This window comes from Homo sapiens, chromosome 2 (assembly GCF_000001405.40).
Source record: "Homo sapiens chromosome 2, GRCh38.p14 Primary Assembly".
NCBI lineage: Eukaryota > Metazoa > Chordata > Mammalia > Primates > Hominidae > Homo > Homo sapiens.
This window is the reverse complement of record NC_000002.12, coordinates 175000928-175016852: the sequence shown is the minus strand read 5'-3', so window position 1 is coordinate 175016852 and position 15925 is coordinate 175000928. Positions and strand designations below refer to the sequence as shown.

The window sequence follows — 15925 nt, the reverse complement described above, 5'->3', positions numbered from 1 at the left end:
GGCCCACTTCCAACACTGGAGATCACATTTCAACCTGAGATTTGGAGGGGACAAAACATCCAAACTGTATCACCTTCTTACATCCTGTTGCTCCTTAATCCTCTATAGTGTGACCATGCAATAAATACAAACTTGAAACAAAACCATCCATTGCATTTGCCAAAATGTAGGCTGAAACCAGGCAGTGTAAACCATTGACAAGGATGTCTTCAATATCCTAGCACGCTACCCGCTGGGAGGTCCAGCAAAGCAGTGGCCTATTTGAAATCGCTCTGTTAGCTTTTATATTTATATTAACATATTCATCCATTCATTTAACTGATGTTGGTGAGTACCTATATGCTGGGAAATGTAAAGAAAAACAACAGAACCCTACTCTGAATGAGCTAAGGATCCAGTAGATAGAATGGTAGAATATGTGTGTGAGTGCGTGTGTACAAAATATATATTTGCATTTGCATATATACTCAAATAGTTATAATAAAATGTATGAAATATTAAATGCATTAAGATCCATACTTGAATAGTTCTCTGAGTGTTAAAAAAGGGATGAGTTACTTCTGGGTGGGTTGGCTTCATGGAGAACTTCAGTTTAAATGATTGTTTTGAGATTTCAGCTGAACAATATCATTATCTATCTATCTATCTATCTATCTATCTATCTATCTATCTATCATCTATCTATGTATATATATAGTTGTTGTTGTTGTTATTCATTTTGTTTTAACCAAGCATCTGGATTAACATATCCCCCTTACCAGTGGGATGCACAGGCTTTAAAAAAAGGGGGGACCCTAAAGAACTAGTATTAAATGTTTTTGATTAAATAAAACTCTCACAAGTTTCAGGGAGGGAAAAGAAGGGTGGAGTTTTAAGGCCCTGAGGGTCTGGGAGAGTGGGAAGGACTGTGGAACGTGGAGGCTGTCAAGGCTGATTCCCTTATGCTAAGAAATGCCTGGGTCTGAGACTGATTACCCTAAGACAAGCAAACACCAGCTCTTCCCTAAGGAGACTGTCCTGTATTAAAAAAATATAAGCTGGAGAAATGAATTAGCTGCTCCATTAAGTAATGGGATATAAATGTATGTTGGATGGTAGAAAGCCTAATGTTTCCCATTATAGTTGGAAAGGAGGCCGAGCTTCAATGTGGAGGGAAAAACTTAACCTAATGCACTGAGCACAGAAAAGGGGTGGAGAACACAGAAGTGTGGCCACGCTGATTGAAGACCAGACATGAGAAGCTTTTTCTCATTCTGGATGTTTTCTTCTTTGGGTTGAAACCAGTAATTTACTTCACCCGTCTCTAGAGGTTATCTTTCTCCAATTTGCATTGTTCCTCAGAAGAAACACAGGAAACACAGGAAGACATTCCCTAAGACAGCTGGCTTCCCCTCACAGCTAAGAGGTACCAGGCACTTAAAACACTTTTAAAGCCAAAGAACCAGACTTCTTTCTGACCCAAGCTCAGAAAGAAAGGGGTATTAATGAAATCACTTATGGGTACAATAGAAACTCTACAGGAAACTCTTGGTTCTACTTTAGAGTGGAATTTTAAAATTTTACTTTTCAGTAAAATAAATTTCATCCTGTCACTCAACTGCTGAAGAACCTATTATCTTGTAATTCCTGGGCCAGCAATATCTGGGCATTCCAGTGACACTGATGGTCCAATGACAGGCAGGTTCTCAGGACCCCCTTCCCTTCTTCCTTTCCCTCTCTACTCTCAGCCAGCCGTCTCACCAACTACCATTATCCAGAGAGATTTAAGGGCAAGAGTTGCAGGTTAACTCTCTCCCAGCAGTTTTTCAATTTAGATCTACTCCAATTATATAATGTTTTTTTCAGTTGGTCTATTCAAATTCTATGTAAAAATTTTCTGTCAAAGCTCTTTGCAGAATACTAAGTTCATAAGTGATATTTTATAAATACCTGTTATTTGCTTTATTACTTGAAGTTTATCTTTTTTATATCTAAACTTCTGGTAGTGACATGGTTTGACTGTGTCCCCACCCAAATCTCACCTTGAATAGTAATAATCCCCACATGTCAAGGGCAGGACCAAGTGGAGATAATTGTATCATGGGGGCGGTTTCCCCCATGCTGTTCTCATGATAGTGAGTGAGTTCTCATGAGAGCTGATCATTTTGTAAGGGGCATCCGCCTTCACTTGGCACTCATTTCTCTTTCCTGCCGCCATGTGAAGAAGGACATGTTTGCTTCCCTTTCCACCATGATTGTAAGTTTCCTGAGGTCTCCCCAGCCCTGCGGAACTGAGTTAATTAAACCTCTTTTCTTTATAAATTACCCAGTTTTGGGTATTTCTTCATAACAGCATGAGAACAGACTAATACAGGTACATTATTATCATCAATGAATGTTTTGTCAAATGAAAATAAAGGCGGAATTTCTAAACTGGATTCTAATTGGAGCATCAACTCTAAACTCAATTTTTTATAACAAAATTTTTTTTATGGTATTAGGCTAACTTTTACAATAAAGGATACTGAATGAGCAAACTATATGAATGTATATGAATATGACAATGATAAAAATCTGTGGCTAGATCCTTTCCTATAGAAAGGTGACGTGCAATGGAGTTCTGAGTTGAAAGTCCTGGATTCCAGGATCTACCTTATAAGGTTGCTGAGAGATTCAAATAAAAAAAATGTATGGAAAGCATTCCACACATTCCTAACATTCACTTTAAGCTGGGGACAAAATTTATTGGAATTGTATCTGGGCCACATTTCGTACTATTTCACCCTCCCACATCAAATTTCTAAGCTTTTTTAGTAGTGTTGAATCCATATGGTGGCCAGAGAGAGACTAGAACTGGAGGCAGGAAGACCAGGAGGAAGATTCTTGGTTGCTGTGCCAGTTCCTGAATCCCCTTTACATAGGAGAATTTCGGTAATACTTGAAGGTTAAGGAAAGTAAACAGAAACCAGGGGTACCAATCTACATAATAAGAAATAGGGGCTGGAGAGAGGGGCAGGAAAGTCATATAGGCTGAGGTATAGGAGAGAATTTGTGGGGGTTGAGAGTGCTCTGCTCCAGAACACTCTGGAGTGTTCTGTGGGGTGTGGCAGAAAAGGAGGATGGAAATTTTAAGAAGAATAGTATACACTATAATATTCCTTGTGAAATGCAAGTAAAGGCTACAATTCCCTTTAAATTCCTTTTGCCAGATGGATTCTTGCTTAGAATGCAAGAGACTAGGCCATTTGGGATCCTGGAATCTATTATCTTGTTATAAACTCTATAGCTGGTAGCCAATTATGAACATAATTAATACTTACCCATCCCTGTATAACAATTTATGTAAGTATGCTCCTATAAAGCTTACTGGTTCATCACATACAGGTAGATGTGGAATCCCATTTGAGGCTCAACTGGAAATCCTAAAACATATACAAAATAATGTTCCTGATGTTGAATAAATTATATTTTAAGAGGTTTAACTTATTTTGAAATTGAAAAATATGACAAAACAAATGGTTGATTTAATGAAAAAAAATCCAACTGTTTGGATGGTATTGCATAGTAGAAAACACACTTCGTAAAATAATTGATTACAATTTTTATTTCCAAAAGGTTGTGTTGGTGATGCTGCCATGACTGTATATAGTCTGGGAAGCAAATACTTATGAGGTTAAAGGAGAAAGGCACTGCTTTGGCATTTCAAAAGAGATTGTTTCATAAGAAGAGGACCTGAAGCTGAGTGTGGTGTCCAGCTACTCAGGAGACTGAAGCGGGAAGATCACTTGAGCCTAGGAGTTTGAGGCTGCAGTGAGCTATGATTGTGCCACTGCACTCCAGCCTGGGTGACAGAGTGAGACTCTGTCTCTGAAAAAATAAGTAAACAAAAGATAAATGAAAATATTTAAGGCTTTATAAGAAACTAGATTTTACTGAATACTGAGGAAGATAATCCACATGGAGCGAGGAAGAAAAATATTTGTTGACTGTCCACTCTGTGCTTTTACTCTCAGACTGACCGTAGAAGCAGACATGTGCTAGTTGCCTGCCTAGTTACTTTTCCCTTCCTCTAGTTGTTGACTGGTATTTCTACAGGAAATTCACCTCAGCCATGAGGTTTGAGAAGATTATTCCCCTCAGGTTCAGGGTAACTCTTGATTGGCTTGCACTTGCCTCTTCCCCCTGGCCACAGTGATGAGTCATGGATGGGCACACAACCCAATTCAGGCCAATGAGAGAGAGAGAGAGGAAAAAGAGAGAGAGAGATTCCAAGATGTATGCACAACTCTCTTCCCTTGGATGGAGAGGTGGGACTATGTGATGTCTAGAAGCTCTGAAGCCATCCTGCTACCAAAAGGGGAGAGTCTGGAGATGCCATGAGTTGGGGTGCCCTGTGGTATATGATACAGTGACTAGAGAAATGAAGAAACTAAGTCCTTGGGGACATTCTTTGCACAGCTGGATCAGCCTTCCCTGAAACTCACCTTGACTCTGGTCTTTCCCATTACAGAGCAAATAAATTCTCTTTGTTCATTTAACTCAAAGCCAATTTGAGTTAAATTTTCCATCAGTTGCAACCAAAATGTTGCAAACTGATACAGAAGGTACCTTCATTTTACAGAAGAAGAAACTGAAATCCAGAAAGGTTTAAACATTCTCCAAATCACATAGGTAGTGAGAGGTGAAGCCAAGATTCAGATCCAAGTGTTTCTGACCAGTGTTTTTTCAAGATGACTGTGGCATTCTAGAAGTTCCAGGGAGGTAGCAGATGAAATGATGAGCTTAATCTCAAGGGTATACTGTGCCTTATTAGCTTACAACAATGGCAAGTGTGTGTGTGTGTGTGTGTGTGTGTGTATTCGACAGTTTTACTGTAACTCAAAAATGTGTTACTGGAAAATAGGGCACTACAAATAATCCGAGGCCAGAGTTTTACATAATGAATCCAAATTCCTAGTTGCCTTAAGTACTTGTAGAAAGCAGGCTTCAGACAACATAATAAGCATCATCTCAACAGGTTGGCCTTCTACATCTGTCCTCAAACTTGCCTGTGTAGCCTCTTCCCCCACTTCTTCCTCTCATGAGTCCTTTGCAACAAATTGTCCTGCCAGCAAATCTTCTCTCACGATTTTCCTCATGTTCTGGCTTTCACTAGAAAGTCTCAGACTTTCCTCATGCTCTCCCCTCTTTCCTAAACTCCATTTCCCTTTTTCTCTTTTCTGTTTGCCTAATTCCTGTTCAGACCTCAAAGCACAGCTTCACCTATCATGAACTTTTTACCTATTTCATCAGCTAGAAATAATCTTTCTCTTTTCTGAACTCCCACAAAATTTAATCTGTACTCCTGTTATGGCCTCTGTCATTGTCCCATTTTCCCAAGAGACTACTTTTTTTTTTTTTTTTTTAGATCTGGATACATGTTTGATTCATCTTTTGCTTCTTTGCCAGAAGCTAGCATGATGCCTGGAATATCGTAGGTACTCAGCAAATACTTGTTGAATGGATAAAGGATGGATGGATGATTTTAAATATGTGCATTGTCTCAAATATCTGACACAGGTCCTATTTTACAACAGAATACAAAAGAGCTTTATGAAAACTCCATCACAGCAGTAGACGAGTTTCCAGTCCAGATTGTGATTTTAATCATGGAATTTCACTTGTCTGTTTTTCAGTTCTGTTTTCTAATTGGAGATTGTGTAAGTCTAATCCAGAGTTCATAGCTATTTTCCTGATTTACCACTCACAATGTAATCAACTTGAATAAGTCATTCTTATTGTGGACACCCACGTTAACCAGAAAAACCATGGCCATGTTAGGGAGATTTGATTTGTAGCCAAATCCACTTATACCCTCTTGAAAACTAAATCTGGCAGAAATCCAACTGCTCCAGTCAAATAGACATTTAGCCACACTGTGCATTAGATATGCCTGGTGACCTGAGAAAAATACACTTGAATAGAAATGCTGGCTTAAAGTACTATAATATGATAGTAGTTCAGAACAAAAACTTTTACTTAAGAGCAGCCATCATCATTCTTCTTTTATCTAATGTGTATTTGAAAATGTATTTGACTTTAAGCCTATAAAAAAATTCCAAAAGATCTGCTGTACTATTAACCAGGAAATAAGTATTCTTCTAAAACATCTATTCAAAACACATTAAAAACAGACCTTTTCTTTACACACTCCCTTCCTTTTATGTGCCACTCCAAACCAGTAGCCATTTTGACAGTATATCAAAAGAAATTGTATCACAAAATTTAAAAAACTAGAACCTGTGTCTTTTAGAATATTCTAACCTAGGGTTTACAGTAATATCTGTGGTTTTATTGCCTATTGAACTAAGAGTTCCTCTTGGTGCTGAGCAATGAACAAGAACTCCATTCTCCTGGTTCTGATTTTCAATTCCAATTTCCCCTCCCTTCACACCCACACACACACACACACACACACACACACACAGCTTCTACAAACACATTTTCTTTTTACTTCGGAAGTGATATAATAAGAGCTGAGCAGTGTTTCCTCAGTAATAATCCAATTCCTAATCTGCGCCTAGCCAGATGATAGCCACCTCTCATTTTAGCATATTTTTGGTGACTATCTTCTGCTACTATAGCAAGCACTGTGTAGGGGAACTGAGAAAGTTTTAAATTCTTAAGGTTTCTTATGTATTTCTCAAATTGAGTTTTACTTCATTTCTAAGGCCCAATATTACTATTATAATTTAGGCACCCTCTGGTGGTGAACAGAACACAAATAATTCTCCTAAACATTGAGTTATTTAAGCTTAACGGGCAATTTTACAGTTTATGACATAAATATTATTTTTGTCATAAATAGTGTTATGGTCTAAATCCTTATGTTTGAGGCAAGTGCTGCCTTAGTTACTTGTGTGCATATGTCTTTGTCCTGTGAAAGTGCTATTTGTAAATCATGGAATGCCACACAAATATCAGGTAAGTTATTAATTCAGAAAGTCTGAGATAAAAAACAAGAAGGGGGGTAAAAAATAATCGGAATTAAGTGTTTAAGGAAAACGTTGTTAAAAACAAACCAAATAGTCTAGGCGCGGTGGCTCATGCCTGTAATCCCAGCACTTTGGGAGGCCAAGGCAGGTGGATCACTTGAGGTCAGGAGTTCAAGACCAGCCTGGTCAACATGGTGAAACCAATTTCTACTAAAAAATACAAAAAGTTAACCAGGTGTGGTGGCTCATGCCTGTAATCCCAGCTACTCAGGAGGCTGAGGCAGGAGAATCACTTGAACCTGGGAGGCAGAGATTGCAGTCAGCTCTGAGATTACTGCACTCCAGCCTGGGTGACACAGTGAAACTCCGTCTAAAAAAAAAAAAACAAAAAACCAAACAGACCAAATAGCTGGATACAGTGGCTCATGCCTGCAATCACAGCACTTTGGGGAGGCTGAGAGGAGTGGATTGCTTGAGCTCAGGAGTTCCAGACCAGCCTGGGCAACATGGCAAACCCTGTCTCTACTAAAAATACAAAAATTAGCCGAGTGTGGTGGCATGCACCTGTGGTTCCAGCTACTCCAGAGGCTGGGGTAGGAGGATTGCTAGAGCCCACGAACTCAAGGCTGCAGGGAGCTGAGATTGTGCCACTGCATTCCAGCCTGGGTGACAGAGTGAGACCCTGTCTCAAAACAAAAACAAATCCACTTTAAACAAATTCACACAGTGGAAACAAACACTGTAACTAGTAACATAAATATGGGATAGAGAGAATGTCACATATTGTGAATATTTAAATAATTTTAACTTTCTTAATTTTAACTTTAGCAGAAGTATACTGTGTAACATTTTTCTCTTCACTAGCAAACTTCTGCACTATTTTGGGAACTGTGCTAATAGCACTGGTATTCCTAGTGTTTAAAGCTGTGTTGACATGACAAAGTACTATAATTTTAACTTGTTATTGTGAGGCAGAAACCGCCTCATTAATTTCTGCTTCATTGAAAACTGAGGAACAAATCAATGTTTACCAATGGGAATGAAGCTAAATGGGTAACAAAAAGAAATTCAAAACACTTGTGATAAGTCATTAGTTTAAAATGTAGGAAAACCATTTTAAAGGGTTGTCTAGGTTCTGTTTAGTCAACAAAACTTAAATAAAAATGAGAAATTGTTTTAGTAAATTTGAAATGGGTTGTTCAGTGCACACTTTTAATTTTAATCCTGTTAAACCAGAAAAAGGTTGCTTTCTACATGATTAATATAACATTATTAGTACAACACATTGCAGAAGAAATAGCAGTACCACTGGTTTGACAAAATATGACTTCTTTATTACATTAGGTATTTATGAACTTTAGATATAACAGCACTTTAAATATATTGAAGATTCAAATAAAAATGTCCTCTGTTTTATCCATAAACCAGTTAATTTAAAGATTTTAAAATATCACACAATGACAGATAAACCTAAAAGGGACATTAGAGATACCTTAGTACCATCCTTTCATTTTACAAAGGAGGAAGATAAGAACTAGAAACAGTAAAACATTTGTCTAAAAATCTGACAGCTAGTTAGTAACGAATAAACAAATCTGGCTCTTCTAAGCACTTGCATGTTAAGCACAAAATGAAATCATTGAATGAAAACATAAATATTTTGAGAAGTCAATTCATTCTTTGCCCTTCTTTTATAAACAATCTAAGTCACCACCCGTAATAATCACCTCCAAGCAGTTAACGCCCTTCCTTGCATTGACTCTGTAGCTGAAAGGCTGTGGCTTTATTTTCAGCTAAGTGAGAAAAGAAGCACATGCAATAGAATAGGAATAGCTCATTGAAAAAAATACGCTATTTTAAAAGCCAATACTATTTCCAAGACAGGCACTTTGATCAAGTATAGAGAGCATTTTGTTAGAGCATCAAACCATTTGGAAGTCAGTTGAAAGGAATGGCTCGTGGAAAGCAGGATGCTTTAAAGGGAAACATAGCAACATTCACACTGTTTTGTTCCAAATTGTACCTTAAAAACAGCTGTGTGTGTGTGTGTGTACGTGGGTGTGCGAGTAGAAAGGGGAGAGGAAAAGGATCTTCACTTGAGTTTAAGCAGGGTATTTCACTAGGATTCAGTTGTATTTGGCCAAACTAGTGAGTGGAAAGCTGGTCTAGTAACCAAAGGCCGGCTGTATGATGGGAGGGTAAATCTGAGTGCAGGGCAGCTCCTTTCTCTCTGTCTCACTCCCAGGACAACCCCTCAAGGGATGGAGAGAGCTACTAGCAAGCTGAGCTGCAGCACCAAAACCTTGATGCTCTAACAGAGCTTAACAAAGAGGAGAGAAAGGCATTGTTTCTCTTTTAGCATGATGGGACACATAGTTCTGAGTAGAAGGGCATGTTAATAAAAACTCTTTGAGACAAAATGCAACTTCCCAAACTCTATGCAGAATGGCTAAGGACAAAATACTCTCGTTATTTTGCTTCTAATACTAAACAGATTTTTCTTTTGAAATTCAAACCATGCAACCTCTAAATTGATGCGGGATGTGGGTAGGGAAGGTGGTCGGTGAGAACACCAGAAATCTAAGATTTTCCCATTGGTTCTGCTACTAAATAGGTGAACACATTTGGGAAAATCTTTTTACGGGGAACTCAATTTTTTTACCTATAAATCATGGGAGTTTTGGTCTTTTCCTATTCAAAATTCAATGGTTCTATTCTGAAGGAAAATATTTTCCTTTAAATTATAAAGGCAAAAACTTTCTGAGATTACAAAAAACACTTCCAGGGGCTCACCTAAGGTCCCTGAATAGCCCATAATCCCCTTGAAATTATGTGAAAAATTTCCGGTGAATGTGTGTATGTATGCAAGCACTTTTCTAAGAGGAGGGACAGTATTTTCATTAGAGCCTCAAAAGGAAATTTGGTCCAAAAATGTTGAAGACCACTAGTTGAAACAGTAAATGGAGTCTTCGGTTTCTGATTTATTTGGCTGCAGAGCAGATTAGCAGCAATCTTTATATGGTTATAAAATCTATCCCACAAAGCTTTCTTGAGTTTCTCATTTATTTTCATGAGCTGTGTGTTTGTAATTTTTTATGAGCAGAAAGGTTGTTCAAAATCAAGAGTCCATTTTCATGAAAGATTTTAAATTCTGGGGATTTTAAAGATGTATTTTGATTAGTGGCTAAAGAGAGCCATTTTACATCACAAAATTCCAAACATATAGCATCTTAAACACTTGCCCATTCATGTTGAATCATTTTAATATTTCTTTCTTCCTGAGTTAACTGACTTGAAACAAAAGGCTTGGCTCCTCCTTCCAACCTGCTTTTCTTCTGATGCTTAAGTCTGCTTTGAAATAATGATGGTGAATTAACTGTGGTTCCATTGGAAGTACTGTAGTAATCTCCCACTTTATCAGGATTCGATCTCTAAGATACATTAAATACAAGATATTTCTATAATATTCTTAAAGAATTATTTGAAAATGGGAGAGAAGACACTAGGGAACCTGAGGAACTAAGAGGAAAGACGCCTGTAGAAAGAAAGGAGAACCAAAGAGAAGATCTACATGATCAGATACCAAAATAGTATCAAATCCCTAAGCAGAGAAACAAGAAAAAAGAAGGAATTTCTTAAACAGGGAACACATATAGCAACTAGAGAAGAATGACTTTTTGAATACATTAAACGACAACGACGAAAAACATATAACCCAGCTTTTCAAGAACATCTTTTGGCTGACAATCTCAAGGCGTTGTATGGCTCCTCATGGCAGAGACAGAGGTGAGGAGACAACATCACAGAAAGGAGGACGTTGCCAGTGATTATCAGATAAATACAAGAAGCTCAGGGGAACAATCTTTTGTGGCAAATAAGTGCCAGTCAGTGACACATGCTGATTTTTTTTTCCTTGAGACAATATCAAAGAGGTATAATGTAAAGGGAAGAAAATCAGGTGTAAGCATTGGTCTTTTAACAAATTATCTTAGGTAATCTCAGATGCTTTTTAAGCGACTCCTTTTCCTAATGTGTGTCAATTTCATCAGAACTACTAGCAGCTCCTAAGTCCAAACGGAGAGGAATGCAGCTTTCAGTGCCTCTGTTCCTACCAGAGCCCTGCAGCTTCAGGTCACCGGCTCCAGCCACAGTGAGCCTGGAGGGCGCCAGGAGAAGAAATATGTTCTCACACGCACCAGGTCCCCAGATGACCCTGCCTGGGCGCTGCGTTCACTCAGCATCCTCCTGTGACTCTTCCTCTTTCGAGTAACAGCGTTTTTCTCCTCTCTGCGCCTCCTCAAATTCCATTCAAGAAAAAACCTGGGCTTTCAGCTAAAACGCACACCGGCCCCGCTCCATCCCGCTCCGGGCGGCCGCCTCCAGGGGGGCGCTGGTGGCTCCTCGCAGCCGCGGGAATGAGGGCGCACCCTCTTACCCCCGCGCGCGCCCGTTGCCATGGGAACGCACTCGACCGGGAAGCCCGAGGGAGAGGCGGGAGGCAGCGGCGCGGCCGAGCTCGTGGGAGACGCTATCGCAAGATGGCGTCTGCGAGGCCGCGGGATGCGGAGTGAGCGCGCCCCGCCGGGGGCTGTGCGAGGCTGCTGCTGCTCTCCCCGTCGCCGCCGCCGCCGCCGCCAGTGCGGCGCCGCCTCTCCGCCAGCCACTGCGCCGCGGCCAAGCCTCCTGCCTCGCAGGTACCTCCTCCCGCGCGCACGCTCCGCGCCTGATGGCAGCGACAAGTGCCGGCTCGCGGAGAGCTAGCGGGGCTCCCTGGGCCCGGTGCGCCCGACAATAACGCGTGAATAACTTTTTCTTGCAGCGGTCCCCCGCGTCCCGGCCTGCAGCCTCCCCGGGCGCCGGCGCCCCCAGCACGCCCCATCGGGCACCCCACTCTCTCCGAGGTGTGGGTGCGGCGGGCTGATGAGGTGATCCCTAGCCCGCCTGGGAGGAGCGCCTGGACTCGCGGGCGGCGGCGAGCGCCTTTACAATGGCCCTGACCCTGTTTGGTAAGTGCAGCCGTCTCCCCGCGCCGCCGCAGGTGGGCCGCGTCCCGGGGCTCGGGGGCGGGGGCCTGGGGGGCCTGGGCGCCCGGGGAGGGGGCGCGGCGCGTGGGGTCGGGGCGGGCCGGGGCCGCAGAGTTGGGGCGCCCGGGGCGCCGGCTTGCTCCCTCGCGCCTCTCCCATTGTTTCCTCTCCCGGCAGGGCCGATGGGCGTGTGCTCCCCTGGCCAATTCTCGGCTGGGAGGCTCAGAGGTCCTGGGTGTTTTGCAAACGCACAAAGATTCTCTAAGATGCCAACTTGGGAGTGAAGTTAACTGGTTGTTTTCAAACCTGCCTTTCCCGTCGGTAAATAAATCCTTGGAAAGTTTATTTATTTTGAACGAGGTATCTGTGAGTCCCCAGCCTCCTTGGAATTGCCAAATGCATGTGTTGCTTCCTGTTGGACTATTGGGGAATTTTTTTTTTGGACTCAGTATATTCCGTTGGAAATAAGTATGATTTGTGAACTGAATATGGGTTAAAATTGAAAATGTTTGCACTAACGAATGAGAGCAGACAGAATAAAGTTGGTTACCAGAAGATAACTGTAATCTCAGGAGACTGAGTATTCATTAAGAATGAAATGTTATTTTTGTGGTGTAATTACTGCAGCACTGTTGCTTTTGGTGGTTAAGACTTCAAGCTGTTTTTTTCTCAGTCTGCAATGACAATGGGTTGGGAAAAAGGACTGAAAAGATACATTCTTTCCTTTTACAAAACGACTATGGTACATACGTACCTGACTTTAAGAAAACTCAATATGTGAACATTAGACGTTCAAAGTATTCAGCTTTTTTGAAGAAGCAAAGTACAATGATATGTAATTGATAGCTACGAGAACAGCCTAAGTAAGTTATTCACAATATCAAGTTTCCAGTTCAGTTTTAATTATGTCATTTGATCAAACACGTTAGAGGTGTTACATACCTCAAATGCTTTTTGAGGTAAATACTTCCCAGTGAATTAAGCTGCTAGAATCAAAGTGTTACTTTTATTTAACTATCTTATTTTATAAATTAAACTTAGACCCAGAGAGGTTGTTTCCCAAAGTCACATGGCTCTTTTGTGGCAAAACTGAGCCTAGAATTCACTTCACCAGGCTTCAGTCTGGGACTGTGTTTACTGTGCCCAAGTGCATTACTAGAAGTGCCATTTCTTACTTGGTGATGATCCTCCATAGGTACTTTAAAAAAGTGTCTTCTTTTTCTGAAAAATAATAAAATTCTCGCTGTTTCTCAGTACCTTGTATCTAAGCATTATTTAATAGCAGCATTTTCCTTAAATGTGGACCTTTTTGGTACAAACATTTTCTTTCCTAAAGAGATATTTGGCATTTTCAAGGTGTGGTTTCAGAAGTAAGGTTTACAAGTCAACTTTTCAAATACTCGCATTCCTGACGAATAAAAAAGATAAATTGGGGTGAAAAATGCTCTTTTAAAAGGATTTCTAAATTCTAAATCTTTAACCACTGTGGTGAAGATGAGGAAGGGAAAAGCATGGAATGTGGCCTATAGAAGAAAGTATAAGAAATCACTCCCAGCCTTCAAAATGAATAATGTATCTTTAAAATTTTAAAGTCTACTTATGGGAAAATAGAATTCACTTCCCAAAATCCAGTTTGTTACAGTGTGAACGTTTCTGTGTTATAAAACAAAGCACTCTTGAGTGCAGAGGCTATTTGTTAAGTAGTGATAGAGCAGCAGCTGTTTTTAAAAGTGGTTGTACACCACTCATCAGTCATCTGGGATGTCTATTAAAAATGTAGATTCTTTTGCCCAAAGACATGGGGGAAGGGGATTTTAAAGTGACTCCCTTTGTGATTCTTATGCTCACTCAAGTTTGAGAACTGTTGTATTCAAGATAAATGCTAGGAGATTGGGTCAAACTCGCCCAATACAAAATAGCTTTTTGTGTATGTTGAGAGATGTACCTAAGGGTTAGAAGAAATGGATTTTATTTTAGATTTTACTACCTTTAACTAGTTGGTCTTAGTCAGAAGTGCCTCATGTCCCTTCATATTTACTCTTAATGACCAACTTAGAACAGAAGAGCAATGGAGCAATAAAGTTCTGTGAGATGGTAGTGAAAAGAGTTAGAGGCAGGGACCTAACCAGATCAACAGGATTTGTCAGAGCTCAGCAGAGTTTATACCTGAGGCTCCCCAGAGTAACGACTGCCAGGGCCCTATCTTTTGTATCTTGGTTGATTAGTTAGTGCAGTCCAGCAGTAGAGTCTAGACTAGTTATTTGCTTTGTGTTTTACATTTTCTTTCCATTCAGGCTTTTTATAAATTTAAGAAATGTTCTTTTTATAGGGAGTTGGTGACTTAGTTTTAAAAAGTGGAGCCTCTAACATTACCTGATTTTGTATTTGCATACATTTAATTTTTTTCACCTGTTAAGTATATTATAGGAACTCGAATACTTGTTAAATTAAGCTGAATAGTTAAGACTGTTTTATCTCTCATCCTCACTGTTAATCACCTTTGCTGCTTAACATATTTTTAATGCATATTAGTTTTATTTTGGGATAGAAGAACCAGACCCCAATCTTGAAAGATTTTACAGTCTCATTTGGGAATTGAAAATGTGCATTTTTGAAAGCTTAAGAATTTGCACCCGTTTTTCTTCTCCTTTCAAATGAACTCACATCTCATTATCAGCTTCGATATAGTTTTTAAATCCCCCAATTTCAAAAATTATCCAAATGTATTACAGACTCTGCTCGCTCACCTTGCTCATTTTTTCAGCAAACATCTGTCACAGCGTACAAGAGACATGGTCCTCTAGTGGCACTTCAGAGTCTTTTCTAGAACTATAGCGAATGCACCTAATTCACTAATTACCTAATTCCGTATAGTGAGTGGCACTTAACTATTAACTAATTCCGTATAGGCTTTGTGAGAACTTCCTTAGTAGAGAGCACATGTTTTCTAGTAATTACTGGGATAAAAGGAAAGTCTCAGATCCTTGAATATGGGAATTTGTGGCTGGTGTACCTGACAAAATGTCCTGATTGGCCACACCAATAGAGCCTTAGTTGGCAGAGCTGGGTGAATAAGCATTCTGCCAGCTCTTGCCTTGGCAGGAATCTCTGTCATTTATAGCTTAATGGGGCTGTGGTTTATAGCCCAGACCAACTGATGCGATTGGGAACTCAGTTACCGTCGGCTGGGCTGGCTGAACCTTGAATAATGGTCCTCTATCTGGGTAGAGTCACCTCTGGCGTTGCTGCTCACCCTCCTTGCCCCTTATTCTTGTTACCATTTAGTCACCATCTTACTACCATAGATCACTTCTAATAATGCTTATGATTTTGCTATAATTTTGTACCATCTTTCCTCAGACCCTTCTGCCATGGAAACCTTTTCATTATCTCACTTTATTCAGCATCTGTCACTAACCTGACACACCTACCTATGGACATCTTTTGGAGCAATTAAATAGCAATGGCATATTCTTTGTGATGTAGTTAGGAAATTTTCTGATTTCCCATAGGAATGTCCTGAAATTAAAATGTATTTTTTAAAAGACAAGTCAATTGAAGATTTTCATATTTGACTGAAAGCTAATTTTATAGGAAGTTCCCACTTGACTATACTCTCTGCTGACATTTTTATTTTTCAGTTGTCCAAAGAATACAAGAGGCTGGCCCAGTGGTGTGAGCTCATCTGCCTTTTTCAGAATATATTCTTTTCAGCTGTCATTTAAATCATCATCCTTATTTAAATTTTTGTCCATGTTCCTTCTTGTACTGGTGTCAAAACTTAATATTTTAGTCAGACATGGTGGCAATGTGCCTGTAGTCCCTGCTACTCAGGAGGTTGAGGCAAGAGAACTGCTTGAGTTCAGAAGTTCAAGACTGTAGTTGCACTATGATTGTGCCTGTGAATAGCCACTGCACTCCAGTCTGGACAACACAGCAAGACCCTGT

General features: G+C 40.1%; 1 protein-coding gene across 5 annotated transcripts in view, besides 2 other annotated features; it reads left to right on the top strand.

The window, feature by feature from the left end:
- The window catches only part of CHN1 (chimerin 1), a 206573-nt gene continuing 202119 nt past the window's right edge, over positions 11472-15925 (top strand). For 2 of the 5 annotated variants that reach the window (NM_001025201.4, NM_001371513.1), the window contains exons 1-2: positions 11472-11647; positions 11773-11959. In NM_001025201.4, the coding sequence (NP_001020372.2) occupies positions 11941-11959 (19 nt within the window). In that variant the 5' untranslated portion in view covers positions 11472-11647; positions 11773-11940. Of the gene's footprint in view, positions 11960-15925 lie in introns of all 5 variants that reach the window. The other 3 variants (NR_038133.2, NM_001822.7, NM_001371514.1) reach the window with 3 other exon arrangements.
- Positions 11712-11771: a silencer, noted in NCBI's record as "silent region_12131". NCBI's record gives its function as "represses an Ori minimal core promoter by ATAC-STARR-seq in GM12878 lymphoblastoid cells {active_cell/tissue: GM12878}" and the evidence as "EXISTENCE:reporter gene assay evidence [ECO:0000049][PMID:35858748]".
- Positions 11756-12302: an enhancer, noted in NCBI's record as "H3K27ac hESC enhancer chr2:175869279-175869825 (GRCh37/hg19 assembly coordinates)". NCBI's record gives its function as "activates a minimal SCP1, AML or CMV promoter by ChIP-STARR-seq in naive H9 embryonic stem cells {active_cell/tissue: H9 hESC(naive)}" and the evidence as "EXISTENCE:reporter gene assay evidence [ECO:0000049][PMID:30033119]".